This window comes from Homo sapiens, chromosome 5 (assembly GCF_000001405.40).
Source record: "Homo sapiens chromosome 5, GRCh38.p14 Primary Assembly".
NCBI classification, from domain to species: domain Eukaryota; kingdom Metazoa; phylum Chordata; class Mammalia; order Primates; family Hominidae; genus Homo; species Homo sapiens.
The window spans coordinates 39165857-39191457 of NC_000005.10; the positions used below are offsets into that span (position 1 = coordinate 39165857).

At 39.5% G+C, this 25601-nt stretch overlaps 1 protein-coding gene and 1 pseudogene across 16 annotated transcripts in view, besides 2 other annotated features; both read right to left on the reverse strand.

Annotated features, from left to right (window-relative positions):
* The window catches only part of FYB1 (FYN binding protein 1), a 169277-nt gene that overhangs the window by 60605 nt on the left and 83071 nt on the right, over positions 1-25601 (reverse strand). The gene's annotated exons all lie outside the window — the stretch shown is intronic.
* Positions 2966-4606, reverse strand: GOLGA5P1 (golgin A5 pseudogene 1; annotated as a pseudogene).
* Positions 11025-11084: an enhancer, noted in NCBI's record as "active region_22496". NCBI's record gives its function as "activates an Ori minimal core promoter by ATAC-STARR-seq in GM12878 lymphoblastoid cells {active_cell/tissue: GM12878}" and the evidence as "EXISTENCE:reporter gene assay evidence [ECO:0000049][PMID:35858748]".
* Positions 11115-11194: an enhancer, noted in NCBI's record as "active region_22497". NCBI's record gives its function as "activates an Ori minimal core promoter by ATAC-STARR-seq in GM12878 lymphoblastoid cells {active_cell/tissue: GM12878}" and the evidence as "EXISTENCE:reporter gene assay evidence [ECO:0000049][PMID:35858748]".

A 25601-nucleotide genomic window follows, 5' to 3' on the forward strand; every position in this document is an offset into this window, starting at 1 on the left:
CAACAAGAATATGAAAAAGTGCTCCACATCACTAATCACCAGAGAATTGCAAATTAAAACCGCAATGAGATATCATCGTACAGCAGTCAGGATGGCTATTATTAAAAAATAAAATAATAAGAGATGTGGGCAAGGATGTCGAGTAAAGGGAATGCTTATACACCGTTGGTGGGAATGTATATAAATTAGTACAGCTTCTAGAGAAAACAGTATGGAAATTTCTCAAACAACTAAAAATGGAATTACTGTAAGATTCAGCAATCCTACTACTGGATATTCAACCAAAAGAAAAGAAATCGGCCAGGAGCAGTGGCTCATGCCTCTAATCCCAGCACTTTGGGAGGCTGAGGCAAGCAGATCACCTGAGGTCAGGAGTTCAAGACCAGCCTGACCAACATGGTGAAACCCCTTCTGTCCTAAAAATACAAAATTATCCGGGCCTGGTGGCAGGTGCCTGTAATCTCAGCTACTCGGGAGGCTGAGGCAGGAGAATAGCTTGAACCCAGGAGGTGGAGGTTGTGGTGAGCCAAGATTGTGCCGTTGTACTCCAGTCTGGGCAACAAGGTGAAACTCCGTCTCATAAAAAAAAAAAAAAAGAAATAAAGATATCATTTTACCAAAAAGACACCTGCACTTGTATGTTTATCACAGTACTATTCACAATAGCAAAGTCATAGAATCAACCTAAGTGTCCATCAATGGATGAAACTTATAAAATGGATGACACTGATAAAGAAAATGTGGTATACGTGGAATACTACTCAGCCATAAAAAAATAAAATTATGTCTTCTGCAGTAACATGGATGGAGGTAGAGGACATTATCTTAAATGAAATAATTGAGAAACAGAAAGTCAAAAAGCACCTGTTCTCACTTGTAAGTGGGAGTTAAATTAAATATAGACGCGGACATAGAGTGTGAAATAATAGACCCTGGAGACTGGGAAGGGTGGGAGGGTTGGCAAGAGTGAGGGATTGGAAATTAATTAATGGGTACAATGTACACTATTCTGGTGATGGTTATAATAAAAGCCCAGACTTCATTACTACACACGGTATCCATGAAAAAAAACCCCTGCACTTTATCCCTTAAATTTATATAAATAAAAAAAGAAAGGAGGGACCCTGAGTCAAAATATAGCACATAAACATAAGATGATAAATCAGGTTTTAGAGGAGAGAAAGATATATAAAGTTGGTGCAAAGGTAATTGCGGTTTTTGCCATTACTTTTGGTAAAAGCTGCAATTAACTTTGCACCAACCTAAAAGAAGAAAAGACACAGAAGGAAAAAAATATAAAAGCCACAAAGAAGTAGTGGGGCACAGTGGAGAGAGCGAGCGTTTTGAAATGAGATGATGCGGGGATCAAGCTTCTACTAGAGGTGTGATCTTGGGTAGTTCTCTCTCTCTCTCTGTCTCTCTCTCTCTCTCCCTTGTTTTTGTTTTTGTTTTAAGTTATTTTTTATTACACAAATAATACATGACTCATTTCTGGAAGAAGCTTTACAACACAGATAAAGTAGAGTTTCAGATGACCTCTCACTCCTCCTTGCCCTCTCTTTCCCAGAAACTACCATTGTTTATCTTTGCAGAACTTTTTCTAAGTGTTTACTGACCTTTGTATGTATGCACAGGAATATCTGATTAAAAACCTAAATTGCTCTGCATGCTGAATATTGTGCTGCCTATTCTGGGCCTATCTTGTTCTTTGTAAATGTTCCAGAGTATTCTGTGTTAGGGATAGTCCAGGTTTGTTCAGTCTTCCCCCTTGACTAAAAACAATGTAATGTTAAGCATCTACTTGTGCTTTTCTGTGTAACTGCAGGGCAGTGGTGGGGGGAAGTGTTCTAGGACAGAGATCTAAAAGTAGAATTGCTGAGATGAAAGATTTGCATATTTTATTTTCCTGTAGGATCTGCCAATTGTCCTCCAGTGAGGCTTCAGCAATGTGCCTCAATGAAGTCTTGTCTCCTCATACCCTCTCCGTCACTGGACGTTTGTAATCACTTTTTAATTTCATTAGCACAATCACTTAATCCTCCAGGGCATCAGCTTACTCTGTAAAAAGGCAAAAATTCTACTCCACAATAAAGTTATGACAATTATATTATTTAACAACAGTGCCCATCACAAACTCACAAAAGACACTTTATAAATGTTAATTCTCTTCCCTTATTATGGATATTTTAGTGAAAAAAAATTAGTCAAACTAGATGTGTCTCTGTGTAACTTTCTTACGGTGCTAATAAACCTTTGCAATTGGTAGCATGTGTTTAACTGCTGAGTAAGCCTATTTTTTTCAAAAACTTTTAGCCCACATTCATATTCCATTTTTAATTAAAGTGCCGTAATCAGGAATATTTCTCTTGAGTTTAGCATTGCTATATTATCATGTCATGTATTATAACTCAGTTTTCCCACTACATTTCTTCTTTCAATTACTGTAAAACCTTTGTTTCTGTAGTTCATCATGACAATGTTTGGCCTGCACTTGTTAGCCTGAGACAAGTAAAGGTGTATTTTAATGACAATTAATGAAAAAGTTATTCTTCCATTAACTTTTTTTTAGACTTTCACTGAATGAAAACATAATGTAAAAAATTGTGTAAGAAATTTGTGGATTTCTGAGAATGTCCAAAGACCTTGGGTTGATCTATACTGCCCTAATTGCCACAGTTAGGTTATCAATTGCATGTAAAGATACCTCCACCTTATTTATCTAATCTGTATACTTTGCTTAATAATTCTAACTATAATATCAAACAATGCCAGGTTTTACAGCTTCTAAGTCTAATTCTTAAATCTTGTCACTATATTATAAAAATTAAGTTAAAAACCGTAGTCACATTTACTGTTGTGCATATAATCGTGTATAAAGTCCAAACATAATAGTCAATTGGTGAAATGAACACATAATTAATGAATATGTAATAATCATTCATATTAATTCCTTTTTTCTTTTTTTAATCAAAATAGGAAACTTTTTATTTTTGTCACTAAATACAATTAGTTTCCCTGATTGTAACCCATTATCAATGTCACCTAACATATAGATGGTCTGTACAGAGGTGAACACCACCAGCATCTTTCTCTACATGTATATTAGGACCACTGAACTCAGAAAAAGCAGAGTTGAGCTTGTTAAATTATTGTCTCTTTTAGAAACTCTTACCATTTAAAGGAAATAGGAAGATTTAGGTAGCAGAATACTTGCATAATAACTTAAAAAGTTAAAAGCTTGTAGTGATAAAATAATCTTGTGCACATTCTCAGAAATTTTAGGCAATTGGCCTTCTTGCAGATCCCAAGTTTAGAAAAAGACAACTAATCATTGCAACATCTGGGCTCAGTTCATTTGCCATATGGTTGGTCGTGGTGCATTTCTGGTGTATAAGTCAACAGAACAATCATGACCCAGAGGTGAAGCCAAGCCATATATATAATCACAAAAACTCATGCTATGGGGTATCTTTGGAGAAAAATTCCCAGACGAATACTAAACCGGTCAATTGAACTAGCTTTGTGAATTTTTCCGTACATTCCTGCCAGATTAGTTTCTGTGCCATTAAAAAGAACAGGAACATTTCACAGAAGAGTGCCTTCACCATTGACAATTTCAGACATATTAATCGAAGACCCGTTACTACTACTTCCAGAGGCAGAGTCCATCTGCTGTTTGAGGTGCTCCAGTTGAAAGACCAAGGAGGGCCAGATGCAGTGGCTCACGCCTGTAATCCCAGCACTTTGGGAGGCCGAGGCGGGTGGATTACCTGAGGTCAGGAGTTCGAGACCAGTCTGGCCAACATGGTGAAACTCTGTCTCTATTGAAAGTACAAAAATTAGCCGGGCCAGTCGAAGGTTAGATAGTTCATGTGATTTGCCATCTTCATTAGGTGTTGGGATGTGCTCAGTGCAGGCAGCATTTGATGATGCATTTTCCAAAAGAATTTTCTTCAGTGGTTTTGATGGTGGTTATACTGGGGTTCACAGAACTAACACTTGACGTCCAAGAACTCTGAAAGACAGGTGTCTTTCCTTTTTCCTTTTTGATTTCCACCCTCCCAGTAGGCTCCTTCTGTGAACTATTAAGGAAATTAAAGGGCAGCTCATCATCAGGTTCTGACTTTCTTGTTCACACAAATTGGGATGAAGGCCTAGGAACAGATGAATTTTCAATAGGATGAGAGGCCTCCACTGGTGTCCTAGATCTTACTTTCACATTTGCAGTGCCAGCTAAGATGGTGGCTTTTTGATTTCAAATGTTATCAGTTGCTGATGAAGTATAAGTAGCTACAGGTCAAGTCTGATATGTCAAATCTGTATTTGAACTTCTGTGAAGTTCAGTATAGTCAGTATTTTTGCTATATATGATGTTGCTGGTGGTGGTGTCTTTCCTACTGAGAGCTGTTGCAGCCCCTTGATCAACTCAGTTTAAAAGATCTTCTGTCTTTCCAGCAAGATCAACAAACCAAGACATGATGGCAGCAGAATAATCCTATTGGCAAACCTGAGGACTCTGGGCCAGCTGCACCGTGGTCTTGTCGCCGTCCTGGGCCGGACCCCCTCAGCAGCAGACCTGGAGGGGGCCCAGGCTGAGTAAACTTCCCTCCTTTTTTCTGATTCCCTACATCCAATACATGAGAATTCCCCATTAATGCTACAGCTGAAACTCATTCTAGATTCATCCATTTCTTTCTCCTCCATTTGACCTCCCTTGTGCAAACTTCATCATCTCTTATCTGGACTCTTAACAGTAGCCTCCTCACCAGTTTTTTGGTGTCATTATTATTTGCCTACAGCTGATGCTCTACACAGGAAAAAGAGGTCCTAAAATGCAAACCAGACTATAACATTCCTCTTCATTATGGCTCCAATTTCAATGTCTTCCTATCATAAATTCCAAACTGTGACCTTCTGGATCTATGGAATTTGGTCAGTGCCTACTGCTCCAGCCTCATCTGGAACCATTATTCCTCCTTCATCTGTGATATTCCAGCCCATCCAAGTCTTTCTGTTTCTTTAACCCCATAAAGCTTGTTCTTACCTAAGGAATTTGTACTCCCTGCTCTCTGATCAGAACGCTCCTTTCCCCTATTATTGTATTACCATTCATGTTTCTGCTTAAGTAAATTGCTTAAAAGAATTTTTAGACTGGGCACGGTGACTCACACCTGTAATCCCAGCAGTTTGGGAGGCTGAGGCGGAGGGGTGACATGAGGTCAGGCATTTGAAACCAGCCTGGCCAACATGGTGAAACCCCGTCTCTACTAAAAATACAAAAAAATTAGCTGGATGTGGTAGCACAAGCCTGTAATCCCAGCTACTCGGGAGGCTGAGGCAGGAGAATTGCTTGAACCTAGGAGGCAGAGGTTCTAGTGAGCCGAGATCGTGCCACTGCTCTCTAGCCTGGGCAACAGACACTCTGTCTCCAAAAAAAAAAAAGTAAACCCTGAAGATAGCATTTATACATTTTCTTCTATTATAGTATAGAACAGTAGTTTTTAAGTTGTGGAATCAGGACTCGCAGCATCAGCATCACCTGAGAACTTGCTACAAATGCAAGTTCTTAGGCCTCATGCCTGACCTACTGAATTAGAAACTCTGGGTCTGGGGCCCAGCAATCTGTGTTTTAATAAGCTCTCTAGGTGATTCTAATGCACACTGAAGTTTGAGAATCACTGATATAAAATAAATGGTGGGTACACATGTCTCATTTGAAGTTCAACCTAAAGAGGCAACAGGCAGGCTGTGAAAAGACCAATAACTTCAGAAGTTATTGCACTACTGAAGTGCAATATTGCCTGGTATATACTATCGTCACCTCCCATTCTTTTGTTTTGAAACACAACTTATTTGTTTGCAATTCTTAATAATACCACGTTAACTACCAGCTGACACTTTCAGTTAGTATTTCATTGTCTGAGAGTTCCTTCTGGCTATCACTTGCCCTTTCTGCAAGAGCCAAAGCATACGTGGGCCAAACATTTGCTGAAGTAAGAGAACCTGGGGATTGTAAGGTGGGAAAAGCCTTGTTAAGATGCCATGGCATTACCTCTTTTGTAATTGGACAAACGAGGAAGTGACAAGCAGGGGTGAAGGATGGTAAAGATAATGAGGAGAATCAGAAGTCAACTTTAGGAAATAATATATTGAAAAGATTGGGGAAAACAAGGCAGCATGGTGAGGAGCAGTCTTTAATGCATTCTTTATATAATATGAACCACCAATTTTCTACACAGAAAGGGAACAGAATCAGACAAAGCAGACCCACTGAAAGGATAGAATCCCTTTTTAAAAAAATAATTTTGGCCGGGTGTGGTGGCTCATGCCTGTAATCCCAGCACTTTGGGAGGCCGAGGCAGGTGGATCACTTGAGCTCAGGAGTTTGAGACCAGCATGGCCAACATGGTGAAACTCTGTCTCTACTAAATATACAAAAATCAGCCAGGCATAGTGGTGTGCACCTGTAATCCCAGCTACTTGGGAGGCTGAGGCAGGAGAATCACTTGAACCTGAGAGGCAGAGGTTGCAGTGAGCCGAGATCATGCCACTCCATGCTAGGATGGGCGACAGAGCAAGACTCCATCTCAAAAAAAAAAAATAGTAATTTCAACTTTAATTCTAGATTAGAGGGTACACATGCAGGTTTGTTACATGGGTGTATTGTGTGACACTGAGGCTTGGGGTCCCAGTGATCTCATCACTCAACCAACAGGTGGTTCTTGAGCCCACACCTTCCTCCCTCCCTCCTGTGTCTAGTGGTCCCCAGGGTCTATTGTTCTCATCTTTACATTCATGTGTATTCAGTGTTTAGCTCTTACTTATAAGTGAGAACATAAGGCATTTGGTTTTCTGTTCATGTGTTAGTTCGCTTAGGATAGTGACCTTCAGTTCCATCCATGTTGCTGCAAAGGACATGACTTCATTCTTTTTTGTTGCTGCATAGTATTCCATGGTGTATATATACCATATTTTCTTTATCCAATCCACTGTTGATGGGCACCTAGGTTAATTGCATGTCTTTGCTATTGTGAATAGAGCTGCAATGAACCTACAAGTGCATGTGTCTTTTAGACAGAATGAATTATTTTCCTTTCGGTATATACCCAGTAGTAGGGATTGCTGGGTTGAATGGTAGTTGTGTTCTACATACTTTGAGGAGTCTCCAAGCTACTTTCCACCGTGGCTGAACTACCTTACATTCCCACCAACAATTTATAAGTGCTCCCTTTTCTCTGCAGCCTTTTCAGCATCTGTTGTTTTTTGATTATTTTAATAGTAGCCATTCTGATTGGTGTGAGATCGTTTCTCATTATGGTTTTGATTTGCATTTCTTTGATGATTAGCGATGTTGAGCATTTTTTCATTTGTTTATCGGCCACTTGTACAACTTCTTTTAAGAAGTGTCTGTTCATGTTCTTTGCCCATTTTTTAATTAGATTTTTTGCTTGTTGATTTAAGCTCCTTGTAGATTCTGGATATTAGACCTTTGTCAGATGCATAGTTTCTGAACATTTTCTCCCATTCTTTAGGCTGTTTACTCTGTTGGAAATTTCCTTTGCTGTGCAGAGGCTCTTTAATTAGGTCTCACTTGTCTGTTTTTGTTACTGCTGCAATTGCTTTTGGGGACTTATGGGGACTTATCCATAAATTATTTACCAAAGCCTATGTTGAGAAGGGTAGTTTCTAGGTTTTCTTCTAGGATTTTTATAGTTTGAGATCTTATATTTAAATCTTTAACCCACTTGAGTTAATTTTTGTATATGCTGAGAGGCAGGTGTCCAGTTTTATTTTTCTGCATGTGGCTAGCCATTTATCTCAGTATCATTTATTGAAAAGGGAGTCCTTTCTCCATTGCTTATTTTTGTCAGTTTTGTCAAAGATCAGATAGTTTGTAGAAGTGTAGGTTCATTTCTGGGTTCTTTATTCTGTTCAGCTGGTCTATATGTCTGTTTTTGTACCAGTATCATGCTCTTTGGGTTACTGTAACCTTATAGTATAGTCTAAAGTCAGGCAGTAAGATGCCTTTGGCTTAGTTCTTCCTGCTTAGTATTGCTTTGTCTATTCAGTCTTTTTTTTGATTCCAGATGAATTTTAGAATAGATTTTTCTAATTCTGTGAAAAATGACATTGGCATTTTGATAGTGATAGCATTGAATCTGTAAATTGCTTTGGGCAGGCAGTATGGCCATTTTAATGATATCAATTCTTCCAATCCATGAGCATAGAACATTTTTTCCATTTATTTGTGTGGTCTCTGATTTCTTTCAGCAGTGTTTTGTGGTTCTCCTTGAAGAGGTCTTTGACTTCCTTGGTTAGATGAATTCCTAGGTATTTTATTTTCTTTGTAGCTATTGTAAATGGGATTGTGTTCTTGATTTGGTTCTCTGCTAGAATGTTGTTGGTATATAAAAATGCTACTGATTTCTGTACATAGAATCCCTTTTGGGCCTATCCTATATCACTTATAGAACAAATGACCAAGGAATCAGAATTTCTGTTCCTAGAGATAGAACCATAAAACCCTAGGACTGAAAGTCTTTGAATTTACTGTTCCAGTGCTTTTTATATAATTTGGCATAAACAAACCAGTTGATTATTTGTGAAGCCATCTTCCTGGTTCTGCACAGGACTTTAACACATGGAATAAGAATATCATTTAGACTTAGGGATGACATAGCATAAGGAAACCCTGAAAAACACTCTCCCTTTTTATCAAAGATGAAAAATCCAAGGTCCAGATAAGTTTAATAAATGATTTACTCAAGGACACAAAGCTTAAAAACATGAGCTCCCGGACTAAAATCCTGTTTTTCTTCTTTAAGTCTGAAGTTCTTTCTATCATGCCATGAAATCAAAATAAGCTCTTTCTCTCTTTTTAGTTTGTTTAAAAACCTTAAAAAGATAAAACATAAGCATCTTATTTTTGTTAGTGTTTTCAGCATCTCAATGGTGAAATAACTGAAAAGGTACATGTTACTCTCTAAGATGAAAGAGGAAGCTAAGAAGAGACTAGGCAAAATGCAAAGTCAACAACTAATAGACTAAGGGCGAACAGAAGCAGGGAGACCTCTTCTCCCATAGAGAAACCAGTGTCTCAGCTTTTCTTTGTGATGAGGAGTACTGTAAAATTTTTTAAAAGTTATGGTTCTATTTGTTTGCTTGCTCTTACCTGTGTGTGTGCGTTTGTGGTGGGATGATTATTTAGGAGTAAGCAAGATTGACAAATAAACAATAAGGAGGAGGGGAATTGCTGATAGTCAAGTCTCTAAGCTGGGGAAAGGGAAAAGGGGCATGAGGTAGGAAAAGAGAACAGAATGGAGATCCAGCCAGGCAGACACTACATTGGCTATTCAACCTTCTTTAAGGAGAAACCAAGAATATGTCAAAGAAGGAGCCCAGTTGGTAGGCGTAGGGAGTTTGACAACAGCAACTGGGTTAGACATCTATCAGACAGGGAGACAGGGTTTGGAGAAGACTCCGGTTGATTGATGACTCTGATATAAGCGGTGAACATTGTTGGATTGAGTTGACACCATTCTATCAAGAAAGTGACTCACATGGGCTGGAGTATGCCGGTGTCCAATGGTTGTAACTAGCTGGGGGCTTCTTTTGACTCATTGGGGAAAACCTCTGCCTTCTTCTGGGACTTATAAAAGAGAAGTGACAAAACTTGCTGTGAAAGCAGGTAGAAACGCTGCTGTGTAATTTAATAATAGGCTCAACAATTTATATGCCCTTTTCATGCGGGTACATGCTGTGTGGAATGTTTCTGAGAGATTTTAAACTGCAGGCTCCTAACTACCCAGTATTCTTCCTGGCCACTCCTTAAAGAATGCTGGGCAGAAAGGAATCTCAGAACTCATTGGCTGGTGCCTCCAAATGGGGGTAGGCAGTACCAGCTTTCAAGGAAGTGTTTGGAATTGAGTGCTGGTGTTGGGGGAAGGGGTTGCTTTTGGTCATTACAATAGTGAATAACCTAGTGAATGCTACTGGCTTCTTAGGGGCTCAAGGTCAGGGAGTCTAAAATTCCTATGATAGGAGAATTCTAATGGATAAGGAATAGTGTGTCCCAGACATCAGTGACATTCAAGAATATGGAATCACTCATTTTATAGCTGAGATCCAGAAGGATTATGTGCTCCAGGGGCCGGTACAGAGCACAGATCAGCTCTCCTCAAATACAGCCTCCCTTCTACGGGAACTCATTCTAGTGCCCCACAGTGGCCTCTTCATATTTGTTGTCTTGTGTTCAGAGAATCCCAAGTCATTTTTTTTCTGTTTTTTTTTTTTTTTTTTTTTTTTTTTTTTAAAGACAGAGTCTCACTCTGTCGCCCAGACTGGAGTGCAATGGCGCGATCTTGGCTTACTGCAACCCCCACCTCCTGGGTTCAAGTGATTCTCCTGCCTCAGCCTCCCGAGTAGCTGGGATTACAGGTGCGCACCACCAGGCCCAGCTCATTTTTGCATTTTTAGTAGATACAGGGTTTCACCAGTTGGCCAGGCTGGTCTCGAACTCCTGACCCCAGGTGATTCACTCGCTTCGGCCTTCCAAAGTGCTGAGATTACAGGCATGAGCCACCATGCCAGGCCCCAAGTCATTTTTATATTTGCTTAAGAACAACATGTTTAGAAAGGCACACTGCTGCTATTACAATCATTAACAAAAGATAATCTATACTTTGAAATAAAACAATGAAACATTTAACAACCTGCAACTTTGGATGATCATATGATTGGTCTTCATTTCTTGATTATTCTGACTGGTGTTTCTTTAAAAGTGCCAATCTTTAAAAAGATAAATGCTGTTTGTCTCTCAAAACAGTCATAAATTGTGGGAAAGGAAACAAAGACGAAAACATTAGTTTTTCAGAAATGAGGCTTTTTGTTAAAAGTAAAATAAAAATAGCAACACAACTTCCTGATTTTCTGAGTGAAGTTATTTCATGTGCTAGTTATTTGGTGTGGCTCCTCAAGCCCATTTTAATTGAGATGGTGTAGGCAGCTAAAAGAAATGCACTGGTAAAACCACAACTAGGTTTCATCTTGATAGGCAGGAGCAAAAACAGAAAGGAAAGAGGCCAGCCTAATTTCCAGAGACTGGGGGGTTACAATTTCAATTAGGCATCATGGGTGTGTGGGAGGAAGGCAGTTATCCTCATTCTCCTGTATGTTGTTTCTGACTTTGAAAGATGTAGACTATCTCAGGAACTTTTGTCCTGGCAACAGTAGAATATAACTTTTTGATGGCTTTCATTATTTCCAGGCATTGGTAGCTCACACTTATTTCAGTACCATCCTGAATTTAGTAACATCATGCAGTGGCCCCACAGGCTGGAGGCTAGACACCTATCTTGTTTCCTGAGGGCTGTGGCTAACCTCCAAAGTTTATTGTTTCTGTTGCTGCCTTCTTACTATTGTGCGCCTGCTACCTAGAGAGGACTCTATTTCCTTGGGGTAACTAACAAACCAAAGAAGTCCGTAACCTACCTGTTCCTTTAAATTCACAGAGCTATAGAGCTAGAAGGTATCTCAGGGGTGGTCTAATTCAACCTTCACATTTTGCAAAATGAGAAGGTGGTCAAAGAAGTTATTTGTCCCAGGTCTCCCAAAGCTGACAGAGTTGGGCCCAGGACTGAATCTCTTGACATTAAACCTAACCACATTGCTCAATGTAATAACTGCAGGCTGATTAAGTTCTCTACAACGTATTGTGCTCAAACTACTGATTGTCATAGAATCATTTAGAATGCAAAACTATTTTTTCCCACAGTGAGTTTTACAAAATTTGCCATTGTTTTACTTCAAACTTTTGAGCCTCAACATTTTATATATGAAATGGCACCAACAAAATCTGTAACTCTCTTCATTTTCTTTTTCACGTCCTGGAGATTGCATGTGTACGTGTGTATGCTTTGTGAGATAAGGTGTCTTGCAGCTCTGGCTTTGAACAACAAAGTTGCTGAAGCTGTTAGAAGCTGCAAGAATACCCACTTCCTACTTTACTGGTGACATATTTTTGCAAAGCTGTTCTCACTCCGCTTCCCCATCTCAAGCAAATTAAGATTTAGAACAATGACTTTAAGTTCCCTTTTATGCTACTTCTGCTCTTGTACAGTAAAATAGCTTTCCTGCAAACACAAAATATTTTCCACCAGTGAACTAAAATTGTAAGTATTATCTGTTACCTGCATTGACCTCATGCAGCATTTCCCCCAAAGTTAATTCCTGTGAACATTGGTCCTACTTAGATATTTTGGGAGAAAGAACAAAAAGGTTCTGTGGTCAAATATGATTTGGAAATTGCTGTGAATTATACTTTTCCTTTGATATTCATAGTGTTCATTACTGTCTCAAAGACTTTATAATAAGAGAACTAATTTAACTTTGCTTAACCCAAGATTTTCTGAATGTATTTGAATCATTTTTCCTCTGCAACATTCATGTGTGAACATCCTGCAGAAGGCTTAGTAGATGAGTCATGATGAGATTACAGTAGCGTTTATTGAGTGTGTACTGTATGCCCTACAGTTTTACAAGCACTTTAGTGGGATGATGCCTCTGTCAGGCTCAAATATCATAGAACAAATTCAGACTCTATAGTCGTCAAAATGCCCGTGGTTTAATTTTGGCTGTCCTTCCTATGAATTACATAACATTGTATAAATCACTTAATCTCTGAGCCTCTGAATCTTCACTGTAATATGGGAGAATAAAGACAGACTATGAGGTAATGTGGAGAGAGACGAAAATAAAGTTACTGGTAAAATATCCAAATAAAGTGGAAAAACATGGGCAACATTGAGGTTTTTTTTAACTGCAACAAGATTCAAAAAAATGCATAAGTCCTCCCATTATGTTTCTGATGACAACTGAGGTGAATTTAAAAAATCTTTAAAGAAATATCACCTGGGAAATTAACATTGTGTGTACTAGACAGCTTCCCCCCAACATCTTTTAACACATTGCAATAGTTTTCTGATAGGTACCGGATAATTTTCTTATAATCTTAGGAAATCCTTTATGTTAGGAAACGTATCATCTTGTCAAGCACATAGAAAACTGGCTGAGTTTGAAAATCTTCTATCTAGCCCTGGCTTTCCGCGGGCTGGGGCACAGAAGAGTCCATACGTAGTTTTGCATGTAAATGTCGGCTTGTTTGTTCCCACACTAGCTAACAAGAGTCCTTTTAAGTCCATGATAATAACAGATAATATTTTTAGAGTGCTTCCTGTGTGCTAGGCACTGCTTTGAGAGCTCTACTTATGAAAATATCCATTTAATCTCTCAAAAACCATATACGGTAGGCAGCGCTATTGTTCTCATTTGTAGATGAGGAAACATGCAAATTGTTAACTTGCCCAAAGTCTGGCAACTATGGAGGGACAGAGCTCGGATTCAAACCCAGACAGCCTGGTCCCAAAGCTTGCTAACATGACCACTGTGCACTCCTCCAGACATGGCAGTGGAACAGCAGGATGGGTCTGGGTTCCAGTGTGGGAACAAGAAAATGGGTAGAGTAAGAAAAAAAATAATGAGACAATCTTTTCCATTTTCAGGAGTCAGGGAACAAGTACATACAGTTTATCTTTTCAGTAACTTTTTACTTCACACCTCTCCATTTCTCCCACGGATGCTCTGAGTTACAGGAAAGTCCACTTTGCTCCATTTCCAAGCTTTTCTTCTTTTTTCTTTTTTTTTTTTTTTGAGACAGAGTGTTGCTCAGTTGCCCAGGCTGGAGTGCAGTGGTGCGATCTCAACTCACTGCAACCTCTGCCTCCTGAGTTCAAGCGATTCTCCTGCCTCAGCCTCCCAAGTACCAATGTCTACCAGGCTGGTCTCAAACTCCTGACCTCAGGTGATCCTCCCACCTTGGCCTCCCAAAGTGTTGAGATTACAGGCATGAGTGACCACGCCCAGCCCTGCACTTAAAGCTTTTACTTCTCTCCAGGGGCCTGCACATGCAAGTCTATTCACCCCTACCTCCTCTCCTCAACCTATATCCTCTTCCCTCACTTGCCTGGTTTATGCCTACTCTGTCTTTGGGGCTCAGCTTAGGCATCAGTTCCAGTAGGAAGTCTTCCCTATCTAACCCTCCAGGAATACTTAAGCCTTCAAGCACCCAGTACCCCATATTCTCCTTACCTTGGCACTTAACATGTGGTAATGTAAGTGCCCATTTTTCTGACCATGACTCCTATTAGAAGGTAAACTTCAGGAGAACAGAGACGTAACTGTCTCATCTCTATTGGATTCCTGAGGTCTACAACAATACCTAGCACATGGTTGGTGTTTAATAATTGCTATCCACCACTGCACCATTCCCCAATGTTTGCCATGTCCAGAATAATATTTCTATAATTTCCTTCTTCCTAGTGTATTAACGGGAAAGTAATTTCAGACTCTAGAATGCTGTTGGAAGAAGTGAGGAGGAGTGTTTCTACTCAAGCCTTGCCTCCTTTGTTCTTTTCCATTTTCACGTGCTCACCATTCCCCTGATGCCCTTCACCAGCGCTTAATTCCTATTTCATTCCTATTCTTTTTCCATTCCTCCCATCCTTATGTGTTAGGAGGAGATCCTTTGTAACAGCATATGTGATGAGCATATGCTTTTGGGTGTTGGACAAGACCTGTTAGAAAAGTCCCTATTGAAAGGCTGACCAGACCAACCCAGGAAGACTATGTGGGCAGAACTCTTACCCCTACTTTTGTTCTCTGGCCAGGTATCTTGGCTCCTTAGGGGAAGAAAACAGTTGAGATGGAAGCAGAGCTATTTTAGCAAAAGATGCTAATGCTGTTGCTGCTGCCTCCACGAAGTGGTAAAATGTGGTTGGTATTTCCCACTAAATGCTGGTGTAGCTAAGATGGAGAGCAGTAGGGGCAGAAGGCAACTTGAGAGGAGGCCATCTACTTTCTACTTCTCCAGCTTCTACCCTATTTATATTATAATTTTGTGAATAATAAACCCTTTTATTGAAGCAGTCTTGTGACCAGGCTATATTACCACCGTACATTTTTTATTTTTAATAGCTATTTTGTCAGTATAAGCCTAAGAGATTATATAAAAGATTACTTTTCCATATATTTCTGGAACAGAAATTCAGGGATTTGCTCACTCAGCCAGTCACTCACTCATTCGTTCAACCAATGCTTGCCAAGCACACAGTTCAAAGGTGTTTTGCTGGGCATACAGGGAAACTTGGGGAAGAGGAGAGCATGGTCCTTGCTTTTATGGAACTCATGATACATATGGATTTAGGGACAGAAATAACTGACACCATATAGAACAGAATACGTATGATGTTGTGGGAAATATTAAGTAAGTTTTAGAGGTGTGAGAATTGAGGTAGCAGCAGATCATTATATCAGTGCTGTCCAAAAGAATGTTCTGAGAAGATGAAAATGTTCAAATGTTTGTGCTTATATAGCGTATATAGTATACTTATATACTGTAGCTACTAGTCGCCTGTGGCTATTGAATGTTTAAGATGTGGCTAGTGCAACTGAGGAGCTGAATTTTGAATTTCAATTTAATTTAATTTAAACATCCACTGTGGTTAGTGGATACTATATAGGACAGTATAGAACTGATAGATCTATAGTCTGTCAGGCAGGTAGAATTATAAAAACTCAGAGAAGCATCAGGTCCCAAGAGGTAGGCTGGAGTGTTAACAATGTAGCGAGAACTGAAGCTCCTGTGAGCTCTGGGCCCTTGCACTGCCTGCTTATTTGACATCTCCAAGGTCTCAAAGATTCCTCAAATTGAACATGTTCAAAATAAAAATCATGGTCCTCCCCTGAATCCTGGTCACTCTCTCAAAACCTGTGACCCTGTAATTGTTTAAACTAGAATCTTAGGCATCATCCTTGACACCTACTCATTCTCATCCACACAACCAATCCATTATTTTCTAGTGTAAGTATCTCCAAACCCAACCTCTTTTCTCATCTCCATGTCTACCTCCTTAATCGAGGCTCATGGATTACTACATGATCTCCTACTTCCTTTTTTAATTTTTTTTAATTGTGGTAAGAATACTTAACATAATGTCTACCCTCTTGACAAATTTTTATGTGCACAATACTTAATTGCTAACTAGAGCTGGATTGCTGTACAGCACATCTCTAGAACTTATTCATCTTGTGTAGCTGAAATCATGTACTGGCCTACTCCTGCTACTAGAAGAATTCTTCCCAAACATCAAAACCTCACCAGGTCACCCTCATGTTTAGGCTTAAGCCCCAAGTCCTTAACATGACATATAAGGTTCGGTTCCTGCCTAACTAACTCCCCAGTACCATTTTTTATTGCTTTTCCCTGCTTTCTCCTCACTGCAACCTCATTCATCTTCTTATCATTCCTCAAATAATGCCAGTGTGAACAGAGTGCAGGTGGCACATACAAATGCTTTTTGTGTGTGTGTGCATGCATGTGTGTGTGTGTGTGTGTGTGTGTGTGTGTGTGTGTGTGTGTGTGTGTGTGTGTGTGTATGTGGTCAAGTATCATGTACCGGTGCTATTTGGTTATGTCAAATTTTGAGGAAGCTCCCAGAGGTACTGTGCAGGTGCCTCAAAACAATAAAATAATGCTTTTATTTAGACCTGAGGTCTACCTTTGGTTAATATAAAATTTTAATTACATAAAGGCTTTCAAAAAGACTCAGGTCATGCACATCATTTTAGCTGGGTTAGTAAGTGTGACCCATGCAGGTACGATTTGGGAAGGCAGAGCTTCTTTTAGGAGAATCATCTTCCTTGCTAGGTAGTTCATCATAGAACCAATAGGTAAAAACAAGGAGCTATTATTTAAGGTCTTTGAAAGTCAGAGTACTTGGCACATGGGTGATGTCAAATATATTTAGTAGAATAAAGTGCCCAGTGGAGGCAGAGGAGTTAGTCTCTCCTTGTGCTACTACTTTCCCTACAACAGTTAGCCCTTCTGCCCTGCACGGCATTTGTGCTATTGTTTCCTTTTCCATTTGTTGTTATTATTAATTTTTTCAGGTGTTTCAGAAAAAAATTCATTATCCTCCAAAGTTGTTCAGAGCAGGGTTGTCTTCTTAGGAAAAAGGAAATAAGCTACAGACAGGTCTCATTCTAAGCAAAACTAAGTTGACAAAGTTTGTCTTCAAAAGTCCTTGTGTCTCCTATAGGTGTCTTGTTTCCTTTTTTGGGGGGTAGAAGGGATGGAGTTTCACCCTTGTTGCCCAGGCTGGAGTGCAAAGGCGTGATCTCGGCTCATCGTAACCTCCGCCTCCTGGGTTCAAGCGCTTCTCCTGCCTCAGCCTCCCGAGTAGTTTTATATTTTTAATAGAGACGGGGTTTCTCCATGTTGGTCAGGCTGGTCTCGAACTCCCAACCTCAGGTGATCCACCTGTCTCGGCCTCCCAAAATGCTGGGATTACAGGCATGAGCCACCACTCCTGGCCTTGTTTCCTTTTTTTAAGGTACGATTAAGCTCTAATCCAGGACTGGTTGTATGCAAGTCATCTTTAATTGCAACTAAAACCAAGCGTAATAGATACATTGGACCTGTTAGTATCTATCCCAAGGGTACTTGCCTCTTAGAGAAGCACTGGGTAGAGTGTCGAGCATAAAGGGAGAATGAATGTTGTCCCAAAAGTCTTGTAAGCTTCTACACAAGTGAACTGCCAAATGCTAGCTCTAGTATCACTTGAGGCAAGCCCAGCATCTACAGTGAGATGTTCTAGAATGATTCATACCAACTGCCTGGTTTACAGGAAGTTGTTTTCCTTGATATCTCTATTCTTCCATTCCTACTCTCTATGTGTCCCTAAAAAAATGAGTTTCTATAACAACTCAAAACAAGCTATTCTTGACTTTGTAAAAATCAAAAAGGCATTTGCCACTTAAAGATGGACTGATTTGGGTTAAAATGTTTCTATTGTCAGTATACATAAGAATCTCCTGGGCAAGTTATTAAAAATGGAGATACGTAGGCCTCAAAGCAAGATGTTCTGATTCAGGAAGGGGGCTATGGTGGTGGTGGAATAAGGGCAGGAATCTTCATTTTTAAAAAGCATCTAAGCTCATTCTGGTATAGATGATCCACAGGCCACATTGGGAGAAACACTGCCTTGAGGAATGATGGGTAAAAAGGAAATTTTATAATAGGTATCAGGTGAAATAATTTGAGATGATAAAAATTTATATGATCTACTGGCAAACCCAGTATTATATTACTATTTAGTAATTTAGAAGAAAAGGCAATTTTTGGTTTTCAGAAAGAAAGTAAATAATTAAAAATTAATTTTCTAGGGTAATTTTGTGATCTTATAAGAAAATGTGATTATATTATTCCCAAAAACTATCTAAAGCAGATTGTTGTCAAAGTTTTGAGGTAAATTATAATTCAACCAACTGATCAATGAAATCTGAAATATTTTGAAGTTCTGTTATTGAAATAGAAGAACAATATCTTAAGACAATAAAGAATTCAATTATTTAACAAAAAATAAGTTTTCTTCTATGAGGAGGTAGGTACACTTATCTTAATAAAATCAATAATGTTGTTTGACTTTATATGATTTCAAATTACTACAATGTGCAATTTTGAAAACAAAAGTTAAACGGGCTATTTTGGTGAGTTTGAACATGAAAATCCTAAACCACTGGGTAATACTCACAGACTACAAAAAGGTTAACTTTCTTGCCTTTTCAAGAAAATTTGCCAAGAATTCTCACATTGAATGGCTAGTTCATTTGAAGGAACAATTAATTTCATATTTGCAGAATATGCTATTGAATATGTTACTGCTATTGAAAACTGGACTTTAATATTCTTTGTTGAATCAAGATGCTGAAGTAACTTCCATCAGTTTGTTAGTGTTACTTAAAAAAAATCTCTTCAATAAATGTATACATTTCTTGATGATCCATCCTTTGCCCCCAAGTTCATTTTAATGTTGTAATAGAGATCACTTGTTGGATACAGGTTTTAAAACTAGTATGCTCTCAAAAGCAAGAGATGATGCACAACCTGTTCTAACTTAGTTATACAATTTTACAGAAATTATATGTATTTTATAATAAAATATTAATTCATTAATTATATGCCATGGACATCCTTCAGCATCAATATACATTCATTCTTTTCCCTAGATACAAAGTACTGTAAGTGAAAACAATTTTGACCCAGCTTTAGTTAACTTTAATTTTAGCTTATATGTTATTAGCGTTTATACTTTAATTTTGGAATCTAAGTTAAAATTCTCTTCAGATTTTCTAAGTCCTATGGATAGGGAAGAGTACTCATTAGATCAAGTAAACACTGCTTTCTCCTTGACCTATTTCAAGAATTGAGAAGCCCAGATAAATAATTAACTTCTTTAGGATGGTTGTCTTATTCTTACCATGTGCACACTCTTCATTGTTATCATAAATACACTGTCAATACCTGAGGATGATTGAATTTTTCACTCTTCTTTGCATTGTATAAACCTAAGCCTTAGGTGATTCTTTTAAGATAACCCATTATTTTTCTGATATTGATGCTTTGTAGCAGTTAAATGTCTTACCAATGTTTTCCCCCTTAGATATGTGATTAAAAGTTCCCAGTCAAGATGGTAGGCTGAGCTTCATGTGGCAGCAAGCTCTGCTCACCCTAAATCTCTAGAAAGGATAGAAAAGATAACTGACTAAAAAAAAAATATATATATATATATGATATATATGATATGATTGTGTGTGTGTATATATATACATATATACATATATATACATATATATACACATATATATATATACACACATATATATATATATACACACACACACATAATCACACTGGAAGTAAGAAAAAAAAGCAAACCCACAGTGTGTTAGAAACCATGAGGAATCCCTAAAAGATTTGAAGAGAGATCAGATCAACGAGGTAATAAAAGCCCAAAGAGAGCATGAGAGAGAGCTATAAAAGTTGGAGCCACTCCGTGAGGGTTCCGCACTCAGAGATGGAGAATATTGGGAGCAGGTAGGGGCCCATGGGTGACTACTTGAGGGTATGAAGCAGGGACAGCCGGGCACTTTTGACTTCTACACAACAGAAATACTGAGAACTACGAGTGAGCCCTTGAGTGGGCGAAGCTGAGCAGAGTCCCGCTGGCTGCCTTGTCCAGGAGGAAAGAGGAGCACCTGGATTGAAGACTGGCTGTCAAAGTGCCCCATGTCCGGGCACACTAACCCCACCCCTCTCTTCCCTCAAGCGGGCTGCACAAACAGAAACGGTGGACAATTGAATTCAAGCTCCACTAAAACATGAACACAAAATCAAGAATTTTCAAACATTGAAAAGGCAACACACACACTTTGGGAGGCGAAGGCGGGAGGATCACCAGGTCAAGAGATCGAGACCATCTTGGCCAACATGGTGAAACCCCGTCTCTACTAAAAATACAAAAATTAGCTGGGCGTGGTGGCACATGCCTGTAATCCCAGCTACTCAGGAGGCTGAGGCAGGAGAATCACTTGAACCTGGGAAGCAGAGGTTGCAGTGAGCCAATATAGTGCCGCTGCACTCCAGCCTGGCGACAGAGTGAGACTCCATCTCAAAAACAAAACAAAACAAAAAAGGCAACACTGAGAGAACAGCACTCTGAAGTCAACAAAGAGTAGAACTTATACCTAAGGAAACAGAGTAATACAGCAAGAGAGGCACAGGAAGAGACTGCATCTACAAGAGGATCAAGTTGATGTGATAATGAAAATCTTTATGTTATGTTTAAGCAAAACAAAATGTGATTTAACACCTGCAACAATTGGATGCTTTTTTTTTTTTTTTTTTTTTTTTTTACTATTATTGATCCCTGAGGCAGCAGCTGATAGCTATCATCTATTATTCATCTATTTCCATTGGGTCTTTATTTGAGTTTTTTCTCCTTTTATCCTTTAAAAATATTAATTAAATTGCTGCCAATTATTGTCTTTCTTTATGATGTACTAGGAACTGTGCTACGTGTTTTTACTACATTTCCTTTTAATCCTAACAATAATTCTATGACATAGTAGACTTATTATCCCCATTAGCAGATGAGAAAACTGAGGCTAAAAGAGGCCGAGAACCCTCCTTGGGGTCCTACAGTAATTGGTACAGCTGGTACTGGAACCCAAGTCTTTCTAATAACAAAGCAACTGCTCTTAACTCATGATAAAAAAAATGATTGTGAAAACTCCTACATTCTTCAAAACAAAAAAGTGGTCCTGTCTTCATAATACACCTCACTTCTCACAGATCGTTAAGTGCTCATTGCGCTTTTTGCAGGTTCTCCTATCAACTTCAAAGCAAGCTTAAAAAAAGCTTTCAGCTTACAAAAATACTGTGACACGCTTGAAAAAAATGTTTTTATCAGTGCCACATTCATCCTCTTCTTTTATCATTAGGCTCACAAACACAGGAGTCTGTCTACAGCATGAAAACTTGAGAGTGTTTTTCTTCAACTTGCTTATCTTTGAAGATCCAACGATAAAGCATTATAAAAGAAAGGCACCTTGATTTTAGGACAACTGCCTAGCTTGCTTTTGCATTGGTCTAATTTCTTGTAAGTACCGTATAAGCCTATTTTGAAGACTAGGTACTTAACATACTAAAACATCACTGAAGAACAAGATGAACATTGTTACTAAATGATGAGACATCTAGATAGTGGGGTAACTAGGCCAGTACAGTTGCACTTGGGCAATAATCAGTTTGGGAGCATAAAAAGATGCAGTGTTTTTAGCTCCTCTCATCTCTGAGACTTCCTGGTCAGTTTGGGCAGGTGGGAAGGGGTATCACCAAGCATGGAGAGCTCCTAAAGGAACAAGTGTGGTCATCTTGGGCAGGACTGTGGGCTCCATCGCCATTATGGCCTTTATCAACATAGAGGCAGCTCTTAGACTGACACCCAGTTATTCAGATTTTCAAAGTCTATTTGTTGTAGTGCTTCCATTTTTTTTCTTTGCCTTGCATACCACCAGTAGTGCTAAGTTTTTTTTTTTATATTTAATGAATAGTAATTATATGTGCCACCTGAAAGCACTGTGTGGAACAAACCTCAAGCCAATGCAGGGCAGAAGGGGGAACAAAGACATGAAAATGAAAGGGAATAGAAAACAGGAAAAAGAAAGAAAGGAAAGAGGGAGAGGGTGGCAAGAGTCGTTGATTACAGGTGTTCTGTGGGTAGAACACGTCACCACTCTTCCAGGCTGACGGTCAGTTGGTGTGCACTATCTACCAATTATTGAAGTAGTGAAGTTGCTGCAGCCCTCCAAAGGCCCCGATATCCCTCAGGAACCCTTGGACCTCTTTGTGATCCAGTAACTAAAGGGTTATTATCTGCCATAGCAAAGAACTTGTTCAGCTACTCCAAGTGGTCAGAGCTATGCCATGGAATATGTTAGATATTTGAGTAACACCTTTGCTCTTTCCCTCACTAAGCAAATTTTCAAGAACAACCACAGACCTACTTGTTTGCTTAAATGGATTATTCATTCATTTGCATGTTTTGATGTAATCACTAACTGCTAGTATCTTGGTTCAGTGTTACAGTATTTCTTTTAAGAAAAATATCTATGGCTTAGAAACCCTTCATCTCCCCACCAACCCTTGCACACCTAACCCCAACGTACCACCCCACAGCCCCCGTAGCCCCACTGCCCCCACTCTAATCCTTCTCATCAACTACAGCACTTTTTTTTTTTTTTTTTTTTTGAGACAGAGTTTCGCTCTTGTTGCCTAGGCTGGAGTGCAATTGTGCGATCTTGGCTCACTGCAACCTCCGCCTCCGGGGTTCAAGTGACTTTCCCAAGTAGCTGGGGTTACAGGCGCCTGCCACCACGCCCGGCTAATTTTTTGTACTTTTAGTATAGATGGGGTTTCACCATGTTGGCCAGGCTGGTCTCGAACTCCTGACCTCAGGTAATCCGCCCGTCTCAGCCTCCCAAAGTGTTGGGACTACTAGCGTGAGCCACTGCGCCCGTCTGACTACAGTACTTTTTAATGTGATCCAGGAACACCTTGCATTAGAATCATCTGGTGAAACTTGATAGCTATTCCAATTCCTGAGTTCCATCCCAGACCTCTTGAACTAAAAACTTTGGGGACATTCTTATGCAACTAGAAGTTTAAGAACCTTTGAAAGATGAAGGCACAATTTTGGTGTTTTTTCTTTTGCTTCTTCTGAATATATGACACATTCACTGTTAGAACCACTATCTGTCCTGGTCATCTTTCTCCTCAGAGATCCATTTAGAGCTCACAATGATCAGGAAGACAAGTAAGAGATGCTGGTTGTCTGGGGTATCCTTGTAATATTTTAACTCAGGAAAGAACCTGAAAGCTTTCAAATCCTAGGTCTGGCAGAAGAACGCCTTTTATGGAATTCCTTTTTTTTTTTTTTTTTAGGATCTCTGTTTATTAGGCATTGAAAATAAACAAAAAAGATGAAACAGCCTGACTGTCACATCAATTTGGGACAACTCAGTTTCCGTACTTGCATTGGAATTGACCAAATTGTCCTGAATATATTCTATTCATCAACAGTTCATTTCTAGTAATACAATGACTATCAATAGCAACAGAAAATAAACCCACTTCCTCCCCTGGCCATCTCTTCCCACTGACTTCTTCTGGGAGGAGGCCTTTGAATAAGAAACTTCTGCTAATATTCAGAGGAAGACCACAGCTGTGTTGAAGGGTTCAGCTTGGAGATAGCTGAACTATTCTGAGTAATAAAATGGAAAGAGTGGTTCTGGCTTTTATTTTTTTGCCTTTGGGAAGGATGGGTCAAAGAAATGAGGAAAAGAAAAAAGGGTGAGCTACAGGGAGAAGGCAGGAGCCTGAGTTACAAAATACCTGCTGTTTTTGAAGGACGGAGACTGCCAATATTTTACTTTTCCAGCTCAAGGTGCAATGTAAACCCCTCTGGCTCCTCAAACCTTCGGTGAAGCCTGTCCTGCACACACATGCCTTTGATAAGTGGTCTGCAGTGAAAACTAAGGGAAACTGCTGAGTCCTTGTTTAGGTTATTGCAGTATAGCACAGGGTCAGGGGGGCAATCCCCAAACCCATCCAAGTTAGAAGAAGCAGGAGCCGGAAGCTAGAAGTGACCTTGAGAAATTGAGCCAGTTGCTCCTTCATAGATCTGCAGAGAGCATCAGATTTTTTGAATAACACACAGGATGATGTTTGGAACTAACTTTGTCCTGATTTTAAGGAGCACGGTAACATAGCTTTTATATTTCCTACATTGGCTTTTCTACTTTAAAATAATGTTGATGCTTGTAATTCTCTGTGCTTTCTCAGTAGTTCAGAATTCAGCAATCTCTTCAAATGGATTGCTCCATAAAGCCCAGTATTTTCTGTGGGTTTCACTGACCGAAAAGAAGGGAGATTTGCAATGATGGTTGAAGGAATAAAAAAGAATTAAGATTTTTGAGAAAGAACACAGTTTAGAAGATGAGAAAGAAGAAGAAAGTGGGAAAATGGGAGGGAGAAAGTTGGTTGGGGGCAGGTGATGGAATGTTCCTTGCTAGGTTTTGTAGCACAGGCTGCTCCACCCAATCCTGAGGAGCTATGGACAATCTTAGGGTTAGTGGGGAGAGCAGGGCCCCCAGCTGGTAGGTACAGACCTAGTGGGAGAACTGGACACTGTACCTGGTTGCATGCCACTCAGCCCGAGAACAACTAATTTCTCCCCATGAGGACTAAGAACTCCCAGATTCAGAGAAATCAAAGGCAGCCCCTTGCTACAAAGAAATGAAACTTGCTGCTTGTTAAATGGCTTGTATCAGGTCTAGAAAATTCTCTTTAACTCAAAGAAACAGCGATTACTGAAATGCATTCTAAAGGCTTGCCTTATTCTCCTTCCACATAAAACTGCTTTTTGAAAAATGACTGAGGAGCAAACCATGCTTATTTGTGTGTGTGTGTGTGTGTGTGTGAGAGAGAGATGTTGGCTTTGTTACACACATACATCTCACATCTGGTTTCTAGATGAACCAGAAGTGAGAGGCTGGAGAGGTGGGAGAAACAGAAGTCCTGGAGAAGCTGCAATCTAGATCCTCAATGACTGAGAGCACATGAGGCAACCTCAACTTTTTAAAGGTGACAATTTCGAAGAGAAATAGGAAGTACTGCAGGATTGTAAAACAAACACTAAGGGAGATTCTTTTTCCACAAATACAGGTTTCTTTCTCCTCCCAATAATTGTCGATTACCTTCTATTCCAGAATAAGAAAAACAAATACTCAAACATGGTATGGATGTCTGTCTGAGAGATTTATCTGCTTTGCCATTTTTTGGGGACAGATTTTTAATTGCCTGGTTGTAACTAATCATATCGCCACACAGGTTGCTTTTGAAAACCAGGGGAGCTGTTTTATTCTTCTGATAATTATAAGAAAAACAAGAAAAGAGAAGAGAAGCGTGTCCCTCTTTACCTCCATAGACCTACTGCCACCCCTGGAAACACACAGGCTCTGTTGCCAGGACCAAGGCTGAAAAAGCCGTTGTGGTGTGCAGTCGTGCAGCTGCAGAGAGATGTGGACTGTTATAATAAATACAAACAGCTGATTCTACAATGCAGGTTCTTACTTTGGGGAGAAGG